Below are 21,276 nucleotides of genomic sequence, written 5' to 3'. Positions count from 1 at the left end.
TGCTGTCCTGGGACCCAGTGGCCCTGGGACTGTGGAGTATTATGGAAACTCAAGCTGTCACTGCTGGGACAGGGGAGCAAGCCAGGTATGCTCCCACAGTAGGGGCTAGGAAGTGAGCAAGGCCTGAGTGGCAGTGGCTGGGTCTGGGAAGTGAGCACTGCTGTGATCTGAGACAGGGATGTAAGTGGGGCTTGAGTTGCTTCTGGGACTTGGTTGTGAGCTGGGCATGGGCTGATGCAGTCAGGGTGGCAGGGGTGAGACCCAGTGATGCTGGAGCATGAAGGAGACATGCATTTTCCACCACTGGTCCAGGCTGTGGCCACCAAAGTTGGCCCCACCCTCTCCAGTAGCAGAGCCTCAGTGTGGATACTACCATCTCTCACCTGAGCACTCCACCTGCCTGAAGATCACTCCATGCCCACTCACAACAGCTGGTGCCTACTTTCACCAGTGGGGGGCCTGAGCACAAGCCCACCCAGCCTGGCTTCAAGACAGAGCACTCCTCCTGGGGGCCTGAGGTTGGACCTAACCTCCCTGCTACCACCACCTCAGCTGGCACCTACCTGCCAGCACCACTTGCAGGCCTGGAGACTGATCCACCCAACTCATCACAGCCGCCAACATCAGTACACACTGTTTGGGACCCAGAGAATTTTCATGCCATTGGTATTGCCATTGCCCATGCTGTGCCAGCTCAGCTGCCCAGGGATCCAAGAATTTGCCTGCCCACCTACTCCATTGCAGCCACTGCTGGCATTCTAAACAAGCCATTTGGAGCCCTAAGAACTGACCTGCCAGTAGTTGCCAACACAAGTGCCAGTGTACACCACTCTGGGGCACAAAGATAGGCATGCCTACCCCATCCTTGCCACCTCTGGGGCCTGAAGATTGGCCTACCTGGCATCCCAGGCCCTAGCACACAACCTTGCCACAGCCTCCACTGATAAACACACCCTAACCCACCAAGAAAATCACAGATACTACCAATGCTTTGGCTACAGATACTAGCCAAAGAAACCACACAGAGACTACACTACTGCACACGCTGAGAAGCAAAGCCAAAGTACCCTACCCAACCAACACCATAAATGCATCTTCAGGAAAGTCCTCTCCTATAAAAATAAAAATAGGAAAAAGCAACTGTTAAAGAGGGCATACAGATATCAACATAAGGACACAGGAAACATGAAAAAGCAAGGAAATATGACACCTTCAAAGGAATATCATAATTATCCAGCAATAGGTCTTAACCAAAAAGAATTTTTTTTTTGAGATGGAGTCTCACTCTGTCACCCAGGCTGGAGTACAGTGGCACAATCTCAGCTTACTGTAACCTCTGCCTCCTGGGTTCAAATGATTCTCCTGCCTTAGCCTCCTGAGTAGCTGGGATTACAGGCATGCACCACCATGCCTGGCTAATTTTTTTTTTGTATTTTTAGTAGAGATGGGATTTCACCATATTGGTCAGGCTGGTCTCGTACTCCTGACCTGATGATCCACCCACCTCAGCCTCCCAAAGTGTTGGGATTACAGGTGTGAGCCACCACACCCAGTCACCAAAAAGAAACTTTTGAGATCTCAGATAAAGAATTTGAAATACTGATTTTTAGGCCAGGTGAGGTGGCTCACGCCTGTAATCCCAACATTGGGAGGCTGAGGCAGGCAGATCACTTGAGGTCAGGAGTTCCAGACCAGCCTGGCCAACGTGGTGAAACCTTGTCTCTACTAAAGTACAAAAATGAGCTGGGTGTGGTGGTGCATGCTTGTAATCTCAGCCACTAGCGAGGCTGAGGCAGGAGAATTGCTTGAACCCGGGAGGCGGAGGTTGCAGTGAGCCGAGATCGTGCCACTGCACTCCAGTCTGGGCGACACAGTGAGACTCTGTCTCAAATTTAAAAAAAAATTCAAAATAATTGATTTTAAAAGGACCTGAAATAGAAGAGAATACTGAACAAACAATACAAATAAATTAGAAAAACAATTCAGGATATGAATGAGAAATTTATCAAAGAGACATTTTAAAAAATAACCAAACAGAAATTCTGGAACTGAAGAATTCATGGAAGGAAATACAAAATACATTTGAAAGCATCAACGATAGACTAGATGAGACAGAGGAAATCTCAAAACTTGAAGACAGGTCTTTTGAAATAATCCAATCAGACAAAGGTAAAGAAAAAAGAATAAAAACAAATAAGCAAAGGCTTCATGATATTTACGACAACATAAAGCAACTAAATTTGCAAATTATTGGTATCCTTAAGGGCAAAGAAACAAAGGATTAGAAAATGTATTAATGAAGTAGGGCCAGGTGTGGTAGCTTATGCCTATAATACCAGTGCTTTGGGAGGCCAAGTGGGAAGATTGCTTGAGGCCAGGAATTTGAGACCACCCTGGGCAACATAGCAAGACCCTATCTCTACAAAAAAGAAAAAAATTAGCTGGGTGTCATGGCATGCACCTGTAGTACTAGCTGCTTGGGAGGCTGGGCCCAGGAGTTTTAGGTTACTGTGAGCTAGGATTGTGCCACTGCACTCCAGCCTGGGTGACAGAGCAAGACCCTATCTCTAAAAATAAATCAGTTTTTTTTTTTAAAAGAAAACTAATTTAATGAAATAATAGATGAAAACTTCTCAAGTCTAGGAAGAGATATAGACAGTCAGATAAAGGAAGTTCAAATGAACCACAGGAAGATACAATGATAAAAGATCTTCTGCATGGCACATTATACTCAGACTGTCTAAAGTCAAAGAGAAAATCTTAAAAGCAGCAAGAGAAAAGCATCTAGTCACCCATAAAGGAAATTCCTTAAGACTAACAAATTTCTCAGCAGAAACATTACAGGCCATAAGAGAATGGGGTGGTATATTCAACATGCTGAAAGAAAAAAAACGCTGCCACCCAAGAATACTATATCCAGCAAAATTATCTTTCATAAATGAAGGAGATATAAAGTCACCCCGGACAAACAAATGGTGAGGTAATTCATTACTACTAGACCAGTTCTACAAATGCTCAAGGGAGTCCTAAACATAGAAGCTAAAGGACAACATTTACCATTATGAAAACACACAAAAGTATAAAAGTCACTGGCAAAGCAGTTATACAAAGGAGGAAGAGAAAGAACTCAAATGCTACCACTACAGAAATCCACCAAAGCACAATGCCAAAGTATAAGAAAGGAACAAGAAGTATATGAAACAATGAGAAAACAACATGACGGGAACAAAGCCTTACATATCAAGAATAACCTTGAACATGAACAAATTAAATTATCCTCTTAAAAGCTAGAATAGCTAAGTGGATTAAAAATGATCCATGATCAAAAAATGATTCTGCTTACAAGAAACTCACCTTATCATTAAAGACACATATAGACTGAAATAAAGGGATGAAAAAATATATTCCAAGCAAACAGAAACCAATAGTGAGCAGGAGTAACTAGGTATACTTATATCAGATAAAATGGACTTTAAGTCAGGAAGAGTAAAAAAAAAAAAAAAAAGACAAAGTCATTATATAACGATAAAGGGATAAATCTAGCAAGAGGATATAACAATGCTAAATATATATGCACCCAACACTGGAGCACCCAGATTCATAAAGCAAATATTACTAATCTAAAGACAGATAGATATACTGCAATACAATAATAATGGGGGTCTTCAATACCACACTCTCAGCATTAGGCAGATTATCTAGACAGAAGATAAACAAAGAAACATTGAATTGAAACAGGACATCAGACCAAATGGACGTCACAGACATTTACAGAACATTTTATCTAACAAATGCAGAATATATATTCTTTTCATCAGCACATGGAATATCCTCCAGGATAGACCATACGTTAGACCACAGAACAAGTCTCAACAAACTTAAAAGATCAAAATCATACCAGGTATCTTCTCAGATCACAATGGAGTAAAATTAGAAGTCTGTACCAAGAAGAACTCTGTAAACTATACAAATGCATAATTTCTACTATTTAAATATGTATACTATACAAATATATACAACTATGTATATACAAATTTGCAACATGGAAATTAAACATGCTTCTGAATTAATATTGAGTCAACGAAGAAATTAAGATGGAAATAAAAAAGTATTGAAACAAACGAAGATAAAAGCACAATATACCAAAACCTGTGGGATACAGCAAAAACAGGGCTAAGGGGAATTTTATAGCAATAAATGCCTACAGCAAAAAAGTAGAAAGATTACAAACTAACAATCTAACAATGCACCTCAAGGAACTAGAAAAGCAAGAACAAATCAAATCCAAAATTAGAAGAAAATAGATAAAGATCAGAGCAGAACTAAATGAAATAGAGAAAAAATACAGAGAATCAATGAAATAAAAAGTTGATTCTTTAAAAAGTTGAAAACAAGATTGATAAACTGGTAGCTAGACTAACCAAGAAGAGAGAATAAATTTCTCCTTCCATATCTTATTTGAAGAAATGAATCTCTGTAAATAAAATCAGAAATGGAAAAGGAGATATTACAACTGATACCACAGAAATACAAAAGATCATCAGAGACTATATGACAAACTGGAAAACCCAGAGGAAATGGATAAATTCCTAGAAACATCGAGTCTACCAAGATTGAATGGGGAATAACTAGAAAACCTGAACAGAGCAATAATGAGTAGCAAGATTGAATCAGCAATAAAAAGTCTCTCAACAAGGAAAAGCCCAAGACCAGATGGATTCACAGCTGAATTCTACCAAATATATAAAGAAGAACTAATACCAATCCTCCTGAAACCATTCCAAAAAATTAAGGAGGAGGGAATTCTCCCTAACTCATTCTATCAGGCCAGTGTCACCCTGATATCAAAAGCAGACAAGGACACATGCAGAAAAATCTACAGGTCAATATTCCTGATTAATCTAGATGCAGAAATTCTCAATACAGTACTAGCAAGCCACATCCAACAGCACTTTCAAAAGATTAGGTGAGGCTTCTACCTGGCATGCAAGGATAGTTCAACATATGCAAATTAATAAATGTGATACATCACATCAACAGAATGAAGGACAAAAACCATATAACCATCTCAATAGATGCAGAAAAAGCACTGGATACAACTCAACAAATCTTCATGATAAAAACTCTTTTTTTTTTTTTTGAGATAGAGTCTTGCTCTGTTGCCCAGGCTGGAGTGCAGTGGCACAATCTCAGCTCACTACAACCTCTGCCTCCCAGGTTCAAGCAATTCTCCCTGCCTCAGCTTCCAGAGTAGCTGGGATTACAGGTGCCTGCCACCATGCCCAGCTAATTTTTTTGTATTTTTAGTAGAGACGGGGTTTTGCCATGTTGGCCAGGCTAGTCTCGAACTCCTGACCTCAGGTGATCTGCCTGCCGTGGCCTCCCAAAGTGCTGAGATTACAGGTGTGAGCCACCATGCCCACCTGATAAAAACTCTTAAGAAACAAGGCACAGAAGGAATATACTTTAAAATAATAAAGGCTATATATGACAAGCCCACAGCTAACATCATCATAATAGGGAAAAATTAAAAGCCTTTCCTCTAAGAACTGTAATAAGACAAGGTTGCCCACTTTCACCACTCCCATTCAACCTAGTACTGGAAGTCCTAGCCAGAGGAATCAGGCAAGGGAAAGAAATAAAAGGCATCCACAATGGAAAAGAGCAAGTCAAATTATCCCTCTTTGCTGATGATATTATTCTATATCTAGAAAAACCTAAAGACTCCACCAAAACACTCTTAGATTTGATAAATGAATTCAGTAAAATTGCAGGATACAAAACTAAAATACAAGAAAATCAGTAGCATTTATATACAACAATAATGACTTAGCCAAGACCGAAATCAGGAAGGCAATCACATTTACAATGGCTACAAAAAAATACTTAGGAATAAATTTAACCAAGGAGTTGAAGGATCTCCATAAGGAAAACTATAAAACACTGATGAAAGAAATGGAAGAGGACACACAAAAAAATGGAAAGACATCCCATGTTCATGGGTTGGAAGAATTAATATTGTGAAAATGGCCATACCACCAAAAGCAATATACAGAGTCAATACAATCCCTATCAAAATACCAATGCCATTCTTCACGAAAACAGAAAAAACAATCCTAAAATTCATATAGAACCAAAAAAATCCCAAATAGCCAAAGCAGTCTGGAACAAAAAGAACAAAGCTAGAGACATCACATTACCTGGATTCAAAATATACTACAAAGCTATAGTAACCAAAACAGCATGTACTGATGTACAAATAGACACATAGACCAATGAAACAGAATAAAGAACCCAGAAATAACACCAAATATTTACAGCCAACTGATCTCTGTCAAAGCTGATAAGAACATACACTGGGGAAAGGACACTTTCTTCAGTAAATGGTGCTGGGAAAATTGGATAGCCACATGCAGAAGAATGAAAGTGGACCTTTATCTCTCACCATATATAAAAATAGACTCTACATGGACTAAAGACTTAAACACAAGACTTGAGACTATAAAAATATTCAAAATTTAGGGCAAATTCTCCTGGACATTGATCTAGGCAAAGAAGGTATGACTAAGACTTCAAATACACAGGCAACAAAACCAAAAATAGACAAATGGGATTTAATAAAACTAAAGAGTTTCTGCATAATGAAAGAAATAATCAACATAGTGAAGAGAACCTGGTGAATGGAGAAAACATTTGCAAACTATTTACCTGACAGGAGACTAATATTCAGAATATACAGGGTACTCATACAATTCAACAGGAAAAAATAATCCTATTAAACTTGGGTAAATGACATGAATTGACATTTCTCAAAAGAAGACGTACAAACAGCCAGTGGGTGTATGAAAAAATGCTCATCTGTTCGTCTTATGCCTAAAAAAAACAAAAGAATAGCTCAACATCACTAATCATCAGAGAAATGCAAATCAGTCAGAATGGCTATTATAAAAAGACAAAAAATGACAGACGGTAGAAAGGATGCCAAGGAAAGGGAACTCTTATATGCTGTTGGTTGAATGTAAACTAGTACAGGCACTATGGAAAACAGTATGAAGATTTCTAAAAAAAAAAATTATCATTTGATCCAGCAGTCACACTACTATCTACCCAAAGGGGAAAAAATCAGTATATCAAAGGAGTATCTGCACTTGCCTATTTATTGCAGCACAATACACAATAGCTATCTATGATATGGAACTGACCTAAATGTTCATCAGCAAATAAATGGATAAAGAAAATGTGGTATATATACACAATGGAATATTATTCAGACATAGACAATAATTAAATCATGTCATTTGTAGCCACACAAGTGGAACTGGAGATTAGTATCTTAGTGAAATAAGCCGGGCACAAAAAGACAAATATCATATGTTCTCACTTATATGTGGGAGCTAAACATTTTGAACACATGGAGGTAGAGACTAGAAAAATAGATAACAGAGACTGGGAAGGGTGAGTAGAGAAAGTGGGTAGGATGAAGAGAAGAGGTTTAAAGGGTACAAAGATGCAGTAAGATAGAAGAAATAAAGTCAATGTTTTAGAGCAGAGTAGAATTACTATACTTAACAAAAATGTATTTTATTCAGGTGATGGACACCCGAATACCCTAACTTGATCACTACACAGTATATACATGTCACAAAACTTTTTGATGTGCTCCACAAATTTGTGTAAATAATAATAATAATATTTGTGTAAATAATAATAAAAGGATGCAATGGAGGGTTGTTAGAGGAGACTCAAGACAGTGGGATGACGTATTCAAAGTGCTCAAAGATGGCTGGACATGGTGGCTCTCATGCCTGTAATACCAGCACTTTGGGAGACTGAGGCAGAAGGATTGCTTGAGCCCAGGAGATTGAGACCAGCCTGGGCAACATGGTGAGACCCAGTCTCTATTTAAAGAAAATTAAAAGTAACCAAACAAAAAACAAAGTGCTCAGAGTTAGATAAACTGTTAACTGAGAATCTTATATCCAGCAAGTTAACTTGCAAACATGAAAGTGAAATTGACATATTTCCAGATAAAACCTGTGAGAATTGGTTGTTATAGCCTTCCCTTACAAGAAATACTAAAGGTATTTTGAAAGCAAGTAACTTAAGGTAGGAATTAAATGATACACATGAACAAAGAGCATTGGAAAAGTTAATTGTAAAGAAGAATATAAATGCATATTTCTTCTTTGTTAATTGACTTTAAAAGCAATTTAAAAATAATTTATATGTAAGCAATTTGTATATATATATGTATGCATTGAATTTATATATTATGTGTGTGTGTGCATGCGTGTGTGGTTGCATATGTGTGTATGCCTGTAACATATAGAAATGTATTATATTTGGCAATAACAGTACAAAGGAAGTGGGCAGGAGGAAAGTTCTGTTGTGGTAAGAAATGACTCCAAGTGGTAACTCAAATTGAGAAGATGAAATGGAGATCCAGAAATGGTAAATGATTTTGATATAACCAAAGCTATAAATATATACATTTTCTCCTTCTCTCAGCTTCTTTAGAATACATAAAATTATATAAAGTAATAATCTTATAATGTTGGATTTATAACCTTTATAGATGTAATGTGTAATAATATCACAAAAAGGCAGAAAAGGAAATAGACCTATATAGGAATAACTTTTTAATATCTCACTGCTGTTAGTATAGGTCTGAAGCTGATTATGACCAGTCAAGATTCATATGGTAGGCCAGGCATGGTGGCTCACATCTATAATCCCAGCACTTTGGGAGGCTAAGGCAGAAGAATTATTTGAGCCCAGGAGTTTAAGACCAACCTGGGCAACATGGCAAGACCCTGTCTCTACAAAAATTTTTTTTAAAATGAGCCCCACGTGGTGGCATGGGCCTGTAGTCGCAGTTACTCAGGAGGCTGAGGTGGGAGGATCACTGGAGCCTGGGAGGTTGAGGCTGCAGTGAGCCACTATCATGCCACTGCACTCCAGCCTGGGTGACAAGGTGAGAACCTGTCTCAAAAAGAAAAGAAAAAAAAAAAAGAAGATTCATGTGGTAAAGGCTGATGTGACCACTAAGGAAAGAACTCGAAATATAGTTTAAAATTATTGGATAAGTTAAGACATTACATTAACAATAATCCACTTGTTCTAGATCCTTGAGGAATCACCATACTGTCTTCCACAATGGTTGAACTAATTTACATTCCCACCAACAGTGTAAAAGCATTCCTATTTCTCCACATCCTCTCCAGCATCTGTTGTTTCCTGACTATTTTTGTTTCTTTTTTTTTTTCTTTGAGACGGAGTCTCGCTCTGTCGCCCAGGCTGGAGTGCAGGGGCGCGATCTCGGCTCACTGCAAGCTCCACCTCCCGGGTTCACGCCATTCCCCTGCCTCAGCCTCCCGAGTAGCTGGGACTATAGGTGCATGCCACCACACCTGGCTAATTTTTTGTGTTTTTAGTAGAGACGGGGTTTCACTGTGTTAGCCAGGATGGTCTTGATCTCCTGACCTCATGATCCACCCACCTCAGCCTCCCAAAGTGCTGGGATTACAGGCATGAGCCACCGCGCCTGGCTGTTTCCTGGCTTTTAATGATCACCATTCTAACTGGCATGAGATGGTATCTCATTGTGGTTTTGATTTGCATTTCTCTAATGACCAGTGATGATGAGCTTTTTTTCATGTTTGTTGGCTGCATAAATGTCGTCTTTTGAGAAGTGTCTGTTCATATACTTTGCCCACTTTTTGAGGGGGTTGTTTGTTTTTTTCTTGTAAATGTGTTTACTTCTTTGTAGATTCTTGATATTAGCCCTTTGTCAGATGGATAGACTGCAAAAATTTTCTCCCATTCTGTAGGTTGCCTGTTCACTCTGATGATAGTTTCCTTTGCTGTGCAGAAGCCCTATTTTAATTAGATCCCATTTGTCAGTTTTGGCTTTTGTTGCCATTGCTTTTGGTGTTTTAGTCATGAAGTCTTTGCCTATGCCTATGTCCTGAATGGTATTGCCTAGGTTTTCTTCTAGCGTTTTTATGGCTTTAGGTCTTACATTTAAGTCTTTAATCCATCTTGAGTTAATTTTTGTATAAGGTGTAAAGAAGGGGTCCAGTTTCAGTTTTCTGCATATGGCTAGCCAGTTTTCCCAACACCATTTATTAAATAGGGAATCATTTCCCCCATTGCTTGTTTTTGTCAGGTTTGTCAAAGATCAGATGGTTGTAGATGTATGGCATTATTTCTGAGGCCTCTGTTCTGTTCCATTGGTCTATATCTCTGTTTTGGTACCAGTACCATGCTGTTTTGGTTACTGTAGCCTTGTAGTATAGTTTGAAGTCAGGTAGCGTAATGCCTCCAGCTTTGTTCTTTTTGGTTAGGATTGTCTTCGCTATACAAGCTCTACCTTTTGACCCAGCAATCCCATTACTGGGTATCTACTCAAAGGATTATAAATCATTCTACTATAAAGACACATGTACACATATGTTTATTGCAGCACTATTCACAATAGCAAAGACTTGGAACCAATCCAAATGCCCATCAATGATAGACTAGATAAAGAAAATGTGGCACATATTCACCATGGAATACTATGCAGCCATAAAAAGGCTGAGTTCATGTCCTTTGCAGAGACATGGATAAAGCTGGAAACCACCATTCTTAGCAAACTAACACAGGAACAGAAAACCAAACACCTCATGTTCTCACTCATAAGTGGGAGTTGAACAATGAGGACATATGGACACAGGGAGGGGAAAATCACACACTGGGACCTGTTGGTGGGTGGGGGGCTAGGGGAGGAATAGCATTAGAAGAAATACCTAATGTAGATGACAGGTTGATGGGTGCAGCAAACCACTATGGCATGTGTGTACCTAGGTAACAAACCTGCACGTTCTGCAAATGTACCCCAGAACTTGAAGTATAATAATAAGAAGAAAAAGAATCCACTTGATGCGGAAGAGTAAAGGAAGAATAAAGGAAGAGGAAAATTCTGAGACATATAGAAAACAAAATGCAAAATATCAAATGTAAATCCAACTACAGGATATCATTAATAACATTAAATGTGAAGAGATTAAACAAGAGGCAGAGATTGTCACATTGGATAAAAACACAAGATCCATCTATGTGCTGTTTACAGGAGACACATGATAAATTAAATAATACAGGCCAGATGCGGTGGCTCACGCCTGTAATCCCAGAACTTTGGGAGGCCGAGGAGGATGGATCACCTGAGGTCAGGGGTTTGAGACCAGCCTGGCCAATACGGTGAAACCCTGTCTCTACTAAAAGTACAAAAATTAGCTGGGTGTGGTGGTGCAAGCCTGTAATCCCAGCTACTCAGGAGGCTGAGGCAGGAGAATCACTTGGACCTAGGAGGCGAAGGTTGCAGTGAGCCAAGATCATGCCACTGCACTATAGCCTGGCTGACAGAGCAAGACTGTCTCAAAAAGAAAAAAAAAAATTCGATGATACAAACAGACAAAGTAAAAGGATGAAAAACTAACATGGGAACAGCAATCACAAGAAGGCTGGAATGGCTAATATCAGAAAAAATAGATTTACAAATGCTACTGGTGAGAAAGAGGGACATTTTATGATAAAAGGATCATCAGTTAGGAAGATGTAACAATTATAAACCCATATGCACCTAATCACAGACACCCAAATACATGAAGCAAAAAGCCACAGAAATGGAGAAACAGATAACTCAACAATAATAGTCAGAAATGTCAACTCCTCACTTTCAACAACTGATCAAAAAATTAGGCAGAAGGTCACCAAGGAACAGGAAGTTGAACCATACAAGCCTATTAGACCTACCAGATCTCTAGAACACTCTACCCAACAGGAACAGAACCTGTGTTCTTCTCAAGCATACTGGAGACATTCTCCAGGACAGACTGTATATAGATCATAATCCCTTAATCATGTTAAGAGAATAGAAATAATACATTTCATATCCTCTGACCACAGTAGAATTTAATTAGAAATGACTAACAGAAGGACATTTGGGAAACTCACATAAAATAACACATGTCTAAATAACAAGTTTAAGAAGAACCCAAAGGGGAAATTTGAAACACTTTGAAATGAATTAAAAAGAAGACACAACACAGGCGAAGCAGCAGACTGAAGAGTGAAGCCCCTCCCTGGAGCCTGTGGACTGCCCTGCGCCTCCAGGTCCACATCCCGCTCTGCGTCCTCGCACCCACTATGGAGCCATCAAAGGCTTGCTTCCCCCTATCCGCCTCCCGAGTAGTGCAGGCAGGCACCACAGGGAGGGCGCAAGGAGGTGGCTTCTGCAGTGGTGGCCCCCACCCTGCCACGTGGGTACTAATGCGGGACCCTCTCTCATGCAGCGGAGCTGATCCCCAGCCACAGGATGAAGAAGAAGGGCCCCAGCCTGCCCAGGGGCCTGGATGTGAAGGAGCAGGGGCAGTAAGTGTGTCTGCAGGCTGGGTTCTTTCCAGGATGGCAGCCTGTGGTTTGGACAGTGCTGTTGTGCCTGGCCTGACCACCTCATCCCGGGACAGCCTCCATGCCATCTGACCCCCAAGTGGCATGGCCTCCTCTAGGAAGTCCTGCTTGCAGGCTGTGGGCTTCAACCAAGATGAGGTGCAGATGATGCACCCTGCAGATGAGGGTGCAGAGTCATAGGGCACACTCATGGAGCTGCCCTGGGCTGCTCCGAGTGGGTCACAGACAGGGGTTCCATGTCCTGCAGGAGGGTGGCCACCTCCCATCCCAGAGACGGCCGCTGAGTGGGGTTTGAGCCCAGGCTTTGCTTCTGCAAGATGTCCTGTGGAGGCTTGCCTGGCCTGCTGGCTATGCGGCAGAGCCTGCACACCTGCACCTTCCTAGCCCCTCCCTCCACCACTGGCCTCTCCTTGGAGTCTCAACCCTGCACTCACTCTGCTGTTCCAGAACAGTCTCTTTACATGCTTGTGTGCCCCTCTGAGATGAGAGGGCAGGAACCAGGCCCTATTCTTGTTGGCATCCCCACCTCATAAACCCTGAGCAACCCATCGAGGTGATGGAGAGGGGACTGGTGCAGGACAGGAAGGCTCTTTTTCCTCCTAAAGCAGAGGAGACTGGTGCTTAGAGTTTCACCCCAAAGGCAGCCTCCATGCCCTGCCCTCGAAGAGTCACTTCTCCCATGCAACACTGTACCACAGACATTTCCCTATGTGCCTAGGAGTTCCGCACCATCGTGTGTGTGGCCCCACGGCGGTCTCCTGAATGGATGTGCATTCACTGAACCAGCCCCTACTGGTGGGCACAGGTGGTTCCCAGAGCTCGGAATGTGTTGGTTTCCTATTCTAAATATCACTGTGCTGAACATCCTCAGGACGAGGACTTGGGGGTTTTTGTCTGTGTGTGAAGGCTGCCCAATGCAGGGGACAGTGCGGGACGGTGGGGAATAGCCCAGGAGCTCAGGGCCAGGCACAGCTCCCAGGCAGCGGCTGTTTGTGGGGAAGCAGGTTCTGGAGTGGCCGCCTGCTGACGGTGAGGCTCTGTTGCAGAATTCCCTTCTTCAAGTTCTGCTACCAGTGTGGCCGCTCCATCGGGGTCCGCCTCTTGCCCTGCCCTCGCTGCTACGGGATCCTGACCTGCAGCAAGTACTGCAAGACCAAGGCCTGGACCGAGTTCCACAAGAAGGACTGCGGGGACCTGGTGGCCATCGGTAGGTCGGCCCTCAGGCTGGGAGGCAAGGGTTCCGCTGCTGCTGAGGGCGAAGGCGCAGGCCTGGGGTGCTGGTGAGGGGCACCCTCATTTCCCAAAATCTCTCCAGATTCAGGCCACTTTCCCAACATTTCCAGATCGGCCTGTTGGGAGGTGGGCATCGGGGCCACTGAGGCAGCCTGGCTCTTCCTCACCTACTGTGGCAGCATAATGCTTGTCCTCGTCCTGGAAGGGGACACCACCCCATCCCTGCAGAGCTGGAACATGGACCCCTGGGGGCTCTGCTGACACCTGGGAGCTTCACTGAACTCCTAGGGGGCTCTGCTGACATCCAGAGGCTTCACTGACACCTGGGGGCTCTGCTGGTCACCAGTGCCTCTGGACCACAGGGCAGTTGGCCTTGGGGCTCCTTCAGGAAATTTCCTCCCAGCCTGCCGTCTCAGATGTCTGTCTTAGTGTGGACGTCAACAGGTGTCTGCTTCTAGAAACACTCTGGTCTCCCGCAAGCCCCTCCTCACCTCCTTGGTGTGAACAGGGCCCGGTGCCGCAAGGGTGGCGGGCATTGCCGAGGCTGGTGTGCGAAGCTGTGCAGTGGTGACCGCTCTACTGGGACCTGGCTGGGTTCCCGGCCTGGTGGGGACGGGAGTGGGTCTGGGAAAGCCCCTGCCCCCTTAGGCCTGTGCCCTGAAGTGAATGGCTGCTGACCTCCTTCCCCCTCCATAAAATGGGGCTTTTTGTTTTCTTTTGAGACGAAGTCTTGCTCTGTCGCCAAGTCTGGAGTGCAGTGGCATGATCTTGGCTCACTGCAACCTCCGCCTCCCCGGTTCCAGTGATTCTCCTGCCTCAGCCTCCCGAGTAGCTGGGATTACAGGCTAATTTTTTGTATTTTTAGTAGAGACGTGGTTTCACCGTGTTAGCCAGGATGGTCTCGATCTCCTGATCTGGTGATCCACCCACCTCGGCCTCCCAAAGTGCTGGGATTACAGGCATGAGCCACCGCGCGCAGCCAATGGGGCTTTTAATAACAGGCGCCCTCGGTGAGGTCGCAGCTCCTTGGCTTGTAGACTCCAGGATGGGACTTGGTGGGTGTGGCAGGCCCCTCTTTGAAGAGTCACGGCAGATAGCCCTCAGTCCTTGCTGCATCCCGACTCCTTGCCTGCAAAAGCTCTAGACAGAGCACAGTCCTCAGCCGCCCCACACAGCCCGAGTTCTGGAGCCAGGCCTCGGGGGAGGCCAGCTCCAGCCCCCTCTTCCCCCTCCCCCACACCTTTTCCTCCTCCAGTGACACAACTGGAGCAAGTTTCCAGGAGGAGAGAAGAATTCCAGTGAAGCAGCAGCTGCACGTCCGAGGCTTGGGGAGGACCCAGGACTGTGTGGGTTTCTTACCTGCCTGAGCCACCTCAGGGAATCTTCCAGCCTAATGCAGGCATTTCTGCACCTTTGGGGTCATGCTTTGTAGCAGTGTCTCCCTTGCGACCTCGCAATAAATTGGCCCCACGGGGTGATTTTGACAGTCTGTGCTGTGCTCTGCCCCTAGCTGGGCAAAGTCCCAGAGCTTTTGTGGAGCCCGTGCCTGCCTCTGCCCCTGGCTTTGATCTTGCTTGGCCTCCCATGGGGCATGGCCTGGGCCATCCTGATGGACGAGGCAGGTGAGGGTCAGGACTCGGAGCCTGCTGCAGAGATGGCGGTGGGGGCAGCTCCTGGGTCTCTGGAGCTTGTTCTGGGACCTTGCCAGGAGCCCGCGGCAGCAGGCTCCACTCCCTGCTCAGGTGCCCATGGGTGCAAGGCTCCTACTGGGGTTTGCGGTGCTCGTTTGTTCCCCGTGCACTTACGGAGTGTCTGCTGTGTGCTGAGTGTTCTGGGGACGATGGTGTTTGTGGAAATCACTGGGAATGAGAGGAAGGAGGGCCTGGAGCACATGACAGGGAGCAGTGTTGCCTTCGAGGGTGGCCTGCGTGGAAATTCACGGAGAGGGCAGGGGAAGATGCGCAGTGAGGGGCGGACCTGGAGAAGGACGACAGCATCCCCGGAGACAAGGGGACAGCGTCCAGGGATGAGGACGATGGGGGTTTGCTGCTGAGGGCAGAATAGCTGGGAGTGTGGGGGGTGGGAGCCTGTGTCGGGGCTGGAGCCAAGCAGGTGAGACCCCGCTCCAGGCTGGCTTGTGGCTGTCAAAGCAGCTGCACCTGCAGTGATTTTTTTTTTTTACTGACTTTCCTGGTCTCGCCAAAGATGGGCTCCATGCTGGGGGTTTGTTGGGGGTGCCCTGGGAAAGGCTTCTGTAAGGGGTCAGCAGTGAGCCTGGGCAGAGGGACAAGCTGACCGCTGGGTGGCTCTTCATAGGGGCTCCCAACGGACGCAGGGACCAGGCCTTTGTACCCCTGCATCGGCTGGTCACCAGCCACAGGCTGCCCCTGGGAGGGTCGTAACTGTGTGAGCTGGCTCCCTGCCGCCAAGAGCTGTTCCTGCTCAGGGGGGTCTGGGATGCTGGGTGGGTGTAGGCACCCCCGGCTTCCACTACCTCTGCTAGAAAGGAAAAAGCTGCTAATGGATACTTATTTGATGGTACACTTAATTCTATAAAAGTTAGAGAATATCTACAAAGCAAAAGAAAGAACCTGTAAGTGACAATTATCCGCACTGTATTAGTCCATTCTCGCACTGCTACACGTACATATCAGAGACCGGAAAATGTATAAAGAAAGGAGGTTTAATTGGCTCAGGGTTCTGCAGGCTGCACAGGAAACATGGCGGCATGTGCTCAGCTTCAATCATGGCGGAAGGAGAAGGGGAAGCCGGCACTTCGCATGGCTGGAGCGGGAGGAAGGGGAGGGGCTGCCACACACTTTTCAAAACAGCCAGATCTCGTGAGAATTCTATGACCACGAGAACTGCACCAGATGGGGAAGTCTGCCCCCGGGATCCAATCACCTCCCACATTGGGGATTACAATTTAACATGAGATTTGGGCAGAGACATAGATCCAAAGCGTATCACAGACACCTGGATATTACCATGGCCAACGCTTTGTGTGTGTCCTTCTGATCTCTACAGGCATGAGTGCACACAGACAGACGTGTATCTAAAAGTGGGAGCATCCTCTCTGTTCTGAACTAGGCCATGAACATCTATGTTATTAAATATTTTTCTGCAACATAATTTCCCCAAATGAATATAGCTTTATTTTTTATTATATATGCAATATACGCTTATTTAAGAAAGAAGACAGCAAAGACAAGAGTGATAAAAATAACTGGGGGAGGTGGCATATACCTGTGATCCCAGTGACTTGGGAGGCCGAGGCAGGCGGATTGCTTGAGCCCCGGAGTTCCAGACCAGCCTGGGCAACATAGACCCTGTCTCTAAAAAAAAGATCTTAGTCAGGTGTGGTCGCACACACCGTAGTCCCAGCTACTCAGGAGGCTGTGGTGGGAGGATTGCTTGAACTAGGAGTGTGAGGCTACAGTGAGCTGTGATGGCACCACTGTGCTCTGGCCTGGATGAGAGAAAGATGCTAACAACTAATTTTTAAAAATGAGAAAATCATCTTAATCTTAAAATTCAGGGATAAGCATTCTGAGCATTTTGGGGAACATATTCTTTATTTTTATTATTTTTTTTGAGACAGAGTTTCTCTCTTGTTACCCAGGCTGGAGTGCAATGGCAGGGTCTTGGCTCACTGCAACCTCTGCCTCCTGGGTTCAAGCGATTCTCCTGCCTCAGCCTCCTAAGTAGCTGGGATCATAGGCATGCGCCACCACGCCCAGCTAATTTTGTATTTTTAGTAGAGATGGGGTTTCTCCACGTTGGGCAGGCTGGTCTCAAACTCCTGACCTCGTGATCCACCCACCTCAGCCTCCCAAAGTGCTGGGATTACAGGCGTGAGCCACTGCGCCCGGCCTCCACTGGTCCCTTTTCATTGGAGATGTTTGCTCTTCCTGATGGATGGGAACTCTCTAAAGCACAGCAACTTCTCCTATGCCTTGTGTGCAAATAACTGTCTTGCAGTTTGCAGTTTGCACGTGGAAGTTTTTCTCGTGTTGTGAAATCCACGTGTCCTTTCCTCAGGGCCTGGCTTGCTGGAGTGCGTAGAGAGCAGTCCCTTGCTGGGCTTATGTATGCAAGGGTAGCCTTTGCCCAGATTCTCACCACCGTTTTAATGAATTACTGCTTAACCTGTAATTGTATAACCAATCTAGCATTAATTTTTGTGTAAGGTTTGAGAGCCAGCTATCTAGATCTATCCCCAAACAATGGGCGTGATCGAGTAATCCATTTCTTTTCCCTGGTGGGCATATGCCTGCCTCTTAGTTGCCGTAGGGGCCCCTTCTGTGCTCTGCTGTCTCCACCTGCAGCTCTGTGGCCTTTTCACATCTGCCAGGACAGGCCCACCCTCCTCTTCACCGGCCCTGTGAAAGGCCCTGCGGTGACCATGTGCTTTTTCTTCCAGATGAATTGTGCAGTGTGTGTCAAGTTCTAAAATGTCTCGTTGGGACTTAGCAATTATCTTGTTTCATTTGATTGGCAGACAGTTGGCATCTTTTGAGCAGAGTTTTCTGGCTTGTGAGATGATACTGTGGTCACTTGGTATATGGTGTAAGATAAGGGTATATGGTGTAAGATAAGGGTCCAATTTCTCTCTTCTGCATGTACATATCCGACTTTCCAAGCGCCATTTGCTAAAGAGGCTCCTTTTGCTATTGTATATTCTTGGTCCCCTTGTCAAAGATTAGTTGGCTGCATATGTGTGAGTTTATTTCTGGACTCTATATTCTGTTTCATTGTATCTGTTTTTATGACTGTATCATATTGTTTTGATTACTACAGCTTTGTAATATACTTTAAAACAGGATGTGTGATATATCCAGATTTGTTGTTCTTTTGCAAGATTGCTTTAGCTGTTTAGAGTATTTTGTGATTCCACACAAATTTTAAGATTGTTTTTGCTATTTCTGTAAAAAAAAATGCCATTGGAATTTTGATAGACATTGCATTGAGTTTGTAAACTGCTTTGGGTAGTATGGACATTTTAACAGTATTCTTCCAATCCATGAACATAAAATGTCTTCCATTTGTTTGTACCTTAATTTCTCTCATCAATATTTTATAGTTTGCAGTATATATTCTATATTTTATAGTATTTATATATTTATGGTATTCAGTATATATTCTAAAAGTTCCACCAAAAAACCTGTTAGACGTAATAATGAATTCATTAAAGTTGCAAGATACAATATCAGCATACAAAAATTAGTTGTGTTTTTATGCACTAACAATGAACTATCTGAAAAAGAAATTAAGAAAACAATGCCATTTACAATAGCATAAAAATAATAAAATAATTAGCAATAAATTTAAGTGAGGATCCTTTACCTCCCTTAAATTTATTGCTAAGTATTTTATTTAAGTATTTAAGCAAGGTTCTTTTACCTCGCTTAAATTTATTGCTAAGTATTTTATTTAAGTATTTAAGCAAGGATCTTTTACCTTGCTTAAATTTATTGCTAAGTATTTTGTTATTTTTATGCTATTGTAAATGGGATTGTTTTCTTAATTTCCTTTTCAGATAGTTCATTGTTAGTGCATAAAAACACAACTAATTTTTGTATGTTGATATTGTATCTTGCAACTTTAATGAATTCATTTATTCTAACAGGTTTTTTGGTGGAACTTTTAGAATTTTGTGTATGTAAGAGATCATGTCCACTCTTCAAAAGAAGACATATGTATCTAGCCAACAAGCATATGAAAAAAGCTTAATATCACTGATCATTAGAGAACTGCAAATCAAAACCACAATATGATACCATCTCACACCAGTCAGAATGGCTATGATTAAAAGTAAAATTAATAGATACAGGTGAGATTGCAGAGAAAAGGGAATGCATATGCATTGCTGGTGGGAATGTAAATTAGTTCAGCCATTGTGGAAAGCAGTGTGGTGATTCCTCAAAGAGCTAAAAACAGAGCTGTCACTTGACCCAGCAATCCCATCACTGGGTATGTACCTAAAGGAATATAAATTTTTCTACCATAAAGACATATATGCACACATATGTTCATTGTAGTTGTATTCACAATAGCAAGGACATGGAATCAATATAAATGTCCATCAGTGGTAGATTAGATCAAGAAAATGTGGTACATATACACCATGAAGTACTATGCAGCCATAAAAAAGAATGAGATCATGTCCTTTGCAGGAATGTGGATGGAGCTGGAGGCTATTATCCTTAGCAAACTAACGCAGGAACAGAAAACTAAATACCACATGTTCTCACTTATATTAAGTAGGATCTAAATGATTAAAACATTTGGATACAAAAAAGGGGAACAACAGACACTGAATCCTACTTGAGGGTGGAGGGTAAGAGGTTGGAGAGATTAGAAAAAATAACTATTAGGTACTAGGTTTAGTATCTGGGTGATGGAACAATCTGTACAACAACCCCCCATGACACGAGTTTACCTATATAAGAAACTTGCACATGTACCCCTGAACCTAAAAGTTGTTTTTTAAAAGATCATGTTGGCCTGGCGCGGTGGCTCACGCCTGTAATCCCAGCACTTTGGGAGGCCGAGGCGGGTGGATCACAAGGTCAGGAGATTTAGACCATCCTGGCTAACACAGTGAAACCCGTCTCTACTAAAAAAAAAAAAAAAAAAAAAAAAAAATTAGCCAGGCATGGTGGTGGGCGCCTGTAGTCCCAGCTACTCAGGAGGCTGAGGCAGGAGAATGGCATGGACCTGGGAGGCGGAGCTTGCAGTGAGCCAAGATTGCGCCACTGCACTCCAGTCTGGGCGACAGAGTGAGACTCTGTCTCAAATAAAAAAAAAAAGATCATGTTATTGGCAAACAGAGACAGTTTAACTTCCTCCTTTCTGATGTGGATGCCTTTTATTTCCTTTCTTGCTAATTGCTCTGGCAAGGACTTCCAATAACACATTAAATAGAAGTGGTGAAAGTGGGCACCCTTGTCTTGTTCGTGATCTTAGAGGAAATGCTTTCAGCTTTTCACTATTGAGTGTAATGTTAGCTGTAGGCTTGTTGTATATGTCCTCTATTATGTTGAGGTATATTCCTTCTGTATCTAGTTTGTTGAGAGTTTTTACCGAAACAGGATGTTGAATTTTGTCAAATACTTTTTCTGTATCTATTGAGATGACCATATGATTGTTATCCTTTATTCTGTTAATATGGTGTATCACATTTATAGGTTTTCATATGTTGAACCTTGCATCAACATATATCCACATCCATATGGAATCTGTCCATATCTACCCCAACTTTGGAAAGTTTTCCGCCTTTGTTTCTTTAAATAAGCTTTCTGCCCCTTTGTTTCTGTCTTCTTTTGAGACTTCTATAATTCACATATTTATTTTCTTGTTGGTCTCCGTAGGTCCCGTATGCTTTTTTCACTCTTTAATACTTACTCCTTTTTATTCTTTTTTTTTTTTTGGTTAATTGGTTAGTTTTAAATAATTTGTCTTCAAGTTTACCAATTCTTTCTTCTGTATGATCGAGTCTGTTGAAGCTCTTTATTGAATTTTTCAATTTTGTCATTGTGTTTTTCAGCTCTAGGACTTCTATTTGGTTCTTTTTTATGGTTTCCATTT

At 43.1% G+C, this 21,276-nt stretch overlaps 1 protein-coding gene across 43 annotated transcripts in view, besides 3 other annotated features; it reads left to right on the top strand.

Moving 5' to 3' along the window:
* ANKMY1 (ankyrin repeat and MYND domain containing 1) overlaps positions 1–21,276 on the top strand; it is a 92,433-nt gene that overhangs the window by 66,468 nt on the left and 4,689 nt on the right. For 28 of the 43 annotated variants that reach the window (NR_171692.1, NR_171690.1, NM_001393471.1 and 25 more), the window contains 3 exons: positions 12,336–12,414; positions 13,500–13,660; positions 14,942–15,175. Coding sequence is in view for 34 of the 43 variants with exons in the window: in NM_001393471.1 (NP_001380400.1) it covers positions 12,336–12,414; positions 13,500–13,660; positions 14,942–14,988 (287 nt within the window). In the remaining 9 variants the exon portion in view is untranslated. Of the gene's footprint in view, positions 1–12,335; positions 12,415–13,499; positions 13,661–14,941; positions 15,176–21,276 lie in introns of those variants that run through there. The other 15 variants (NR_171691.1, NR_171698.1, NR_171696.1 and 12 more) reach the window with 3 other exon arrangements.
* Positions 14,872–15,381: an enhancer, noted in NCBI's record as "H3K4me1 hESC enhancer chr2:241418633-241419142 (GRCh37/hg19 assembly coordinates)". NCBI's record gives its function as "activates a minimal SCP1, AML or CMV promoter by ChIP-STARR-seq in primed H9 embryonic stem cells {active_cell/tissue: H9 hESC(primed)}" and the evidence as "EXISTENCE:reporter gene assay evidence [ECO:0000049][PMID:30033119]".
* Positions 15,382–15,891: an enhancer, noted in NCBI's record as "H3K4me1 hESC enhancer chr2:241418123-241418632 (GRCh37/hg19 assembly coordinates)". NCBI's record gives its function as "activates a minimal SCP1, AML or CMV promoter by ChIP-STARR-seq in primed H9 embryonic stem cells {active_cell/tissue: H9 hESC(primed)}" and the evidence as "EXISTENCE:reporter gene assay evidence [ECO:0000049][PMID:30033119]".
* Positions 15,892–16,401: an enhancer, noted in NCBI's record as "H3K4me1 hESC enhancer chr2:241417613-241418122 (GRCh37/hg19 assembly coordinates)". NCBI's record gives its function as "activates a minimal SCP1, AML or CMV promoter by ChIP-STARR-seq in primed H9 embryonic stem cells {active_cell/tissue: H9 hESC(primed)}" and the evidence as "EXISTENCE:reporter gene assay evidence [ECO:0000049][PMID:30033119]".

The sequence above is a fragment of the Homo sapiens genome, chromosome 2 (genome assembly GCF_000001405.40).
Source record: "Homo sapiens chromosome 2, GRCh38.p14 Primary Assembly".
Taxonomy (NCBI): domain Eukaryota; kingdom Metazoa; phylum Chordata; class Mammalia; order Primates; family Hominidae; genus Homo; species Homo sapiens.
The sequence above is the reverse complement of the archived record's forward strand: the minus strand, read 5'-3'. Positions and strand labels throughout refer to the sequence as shown.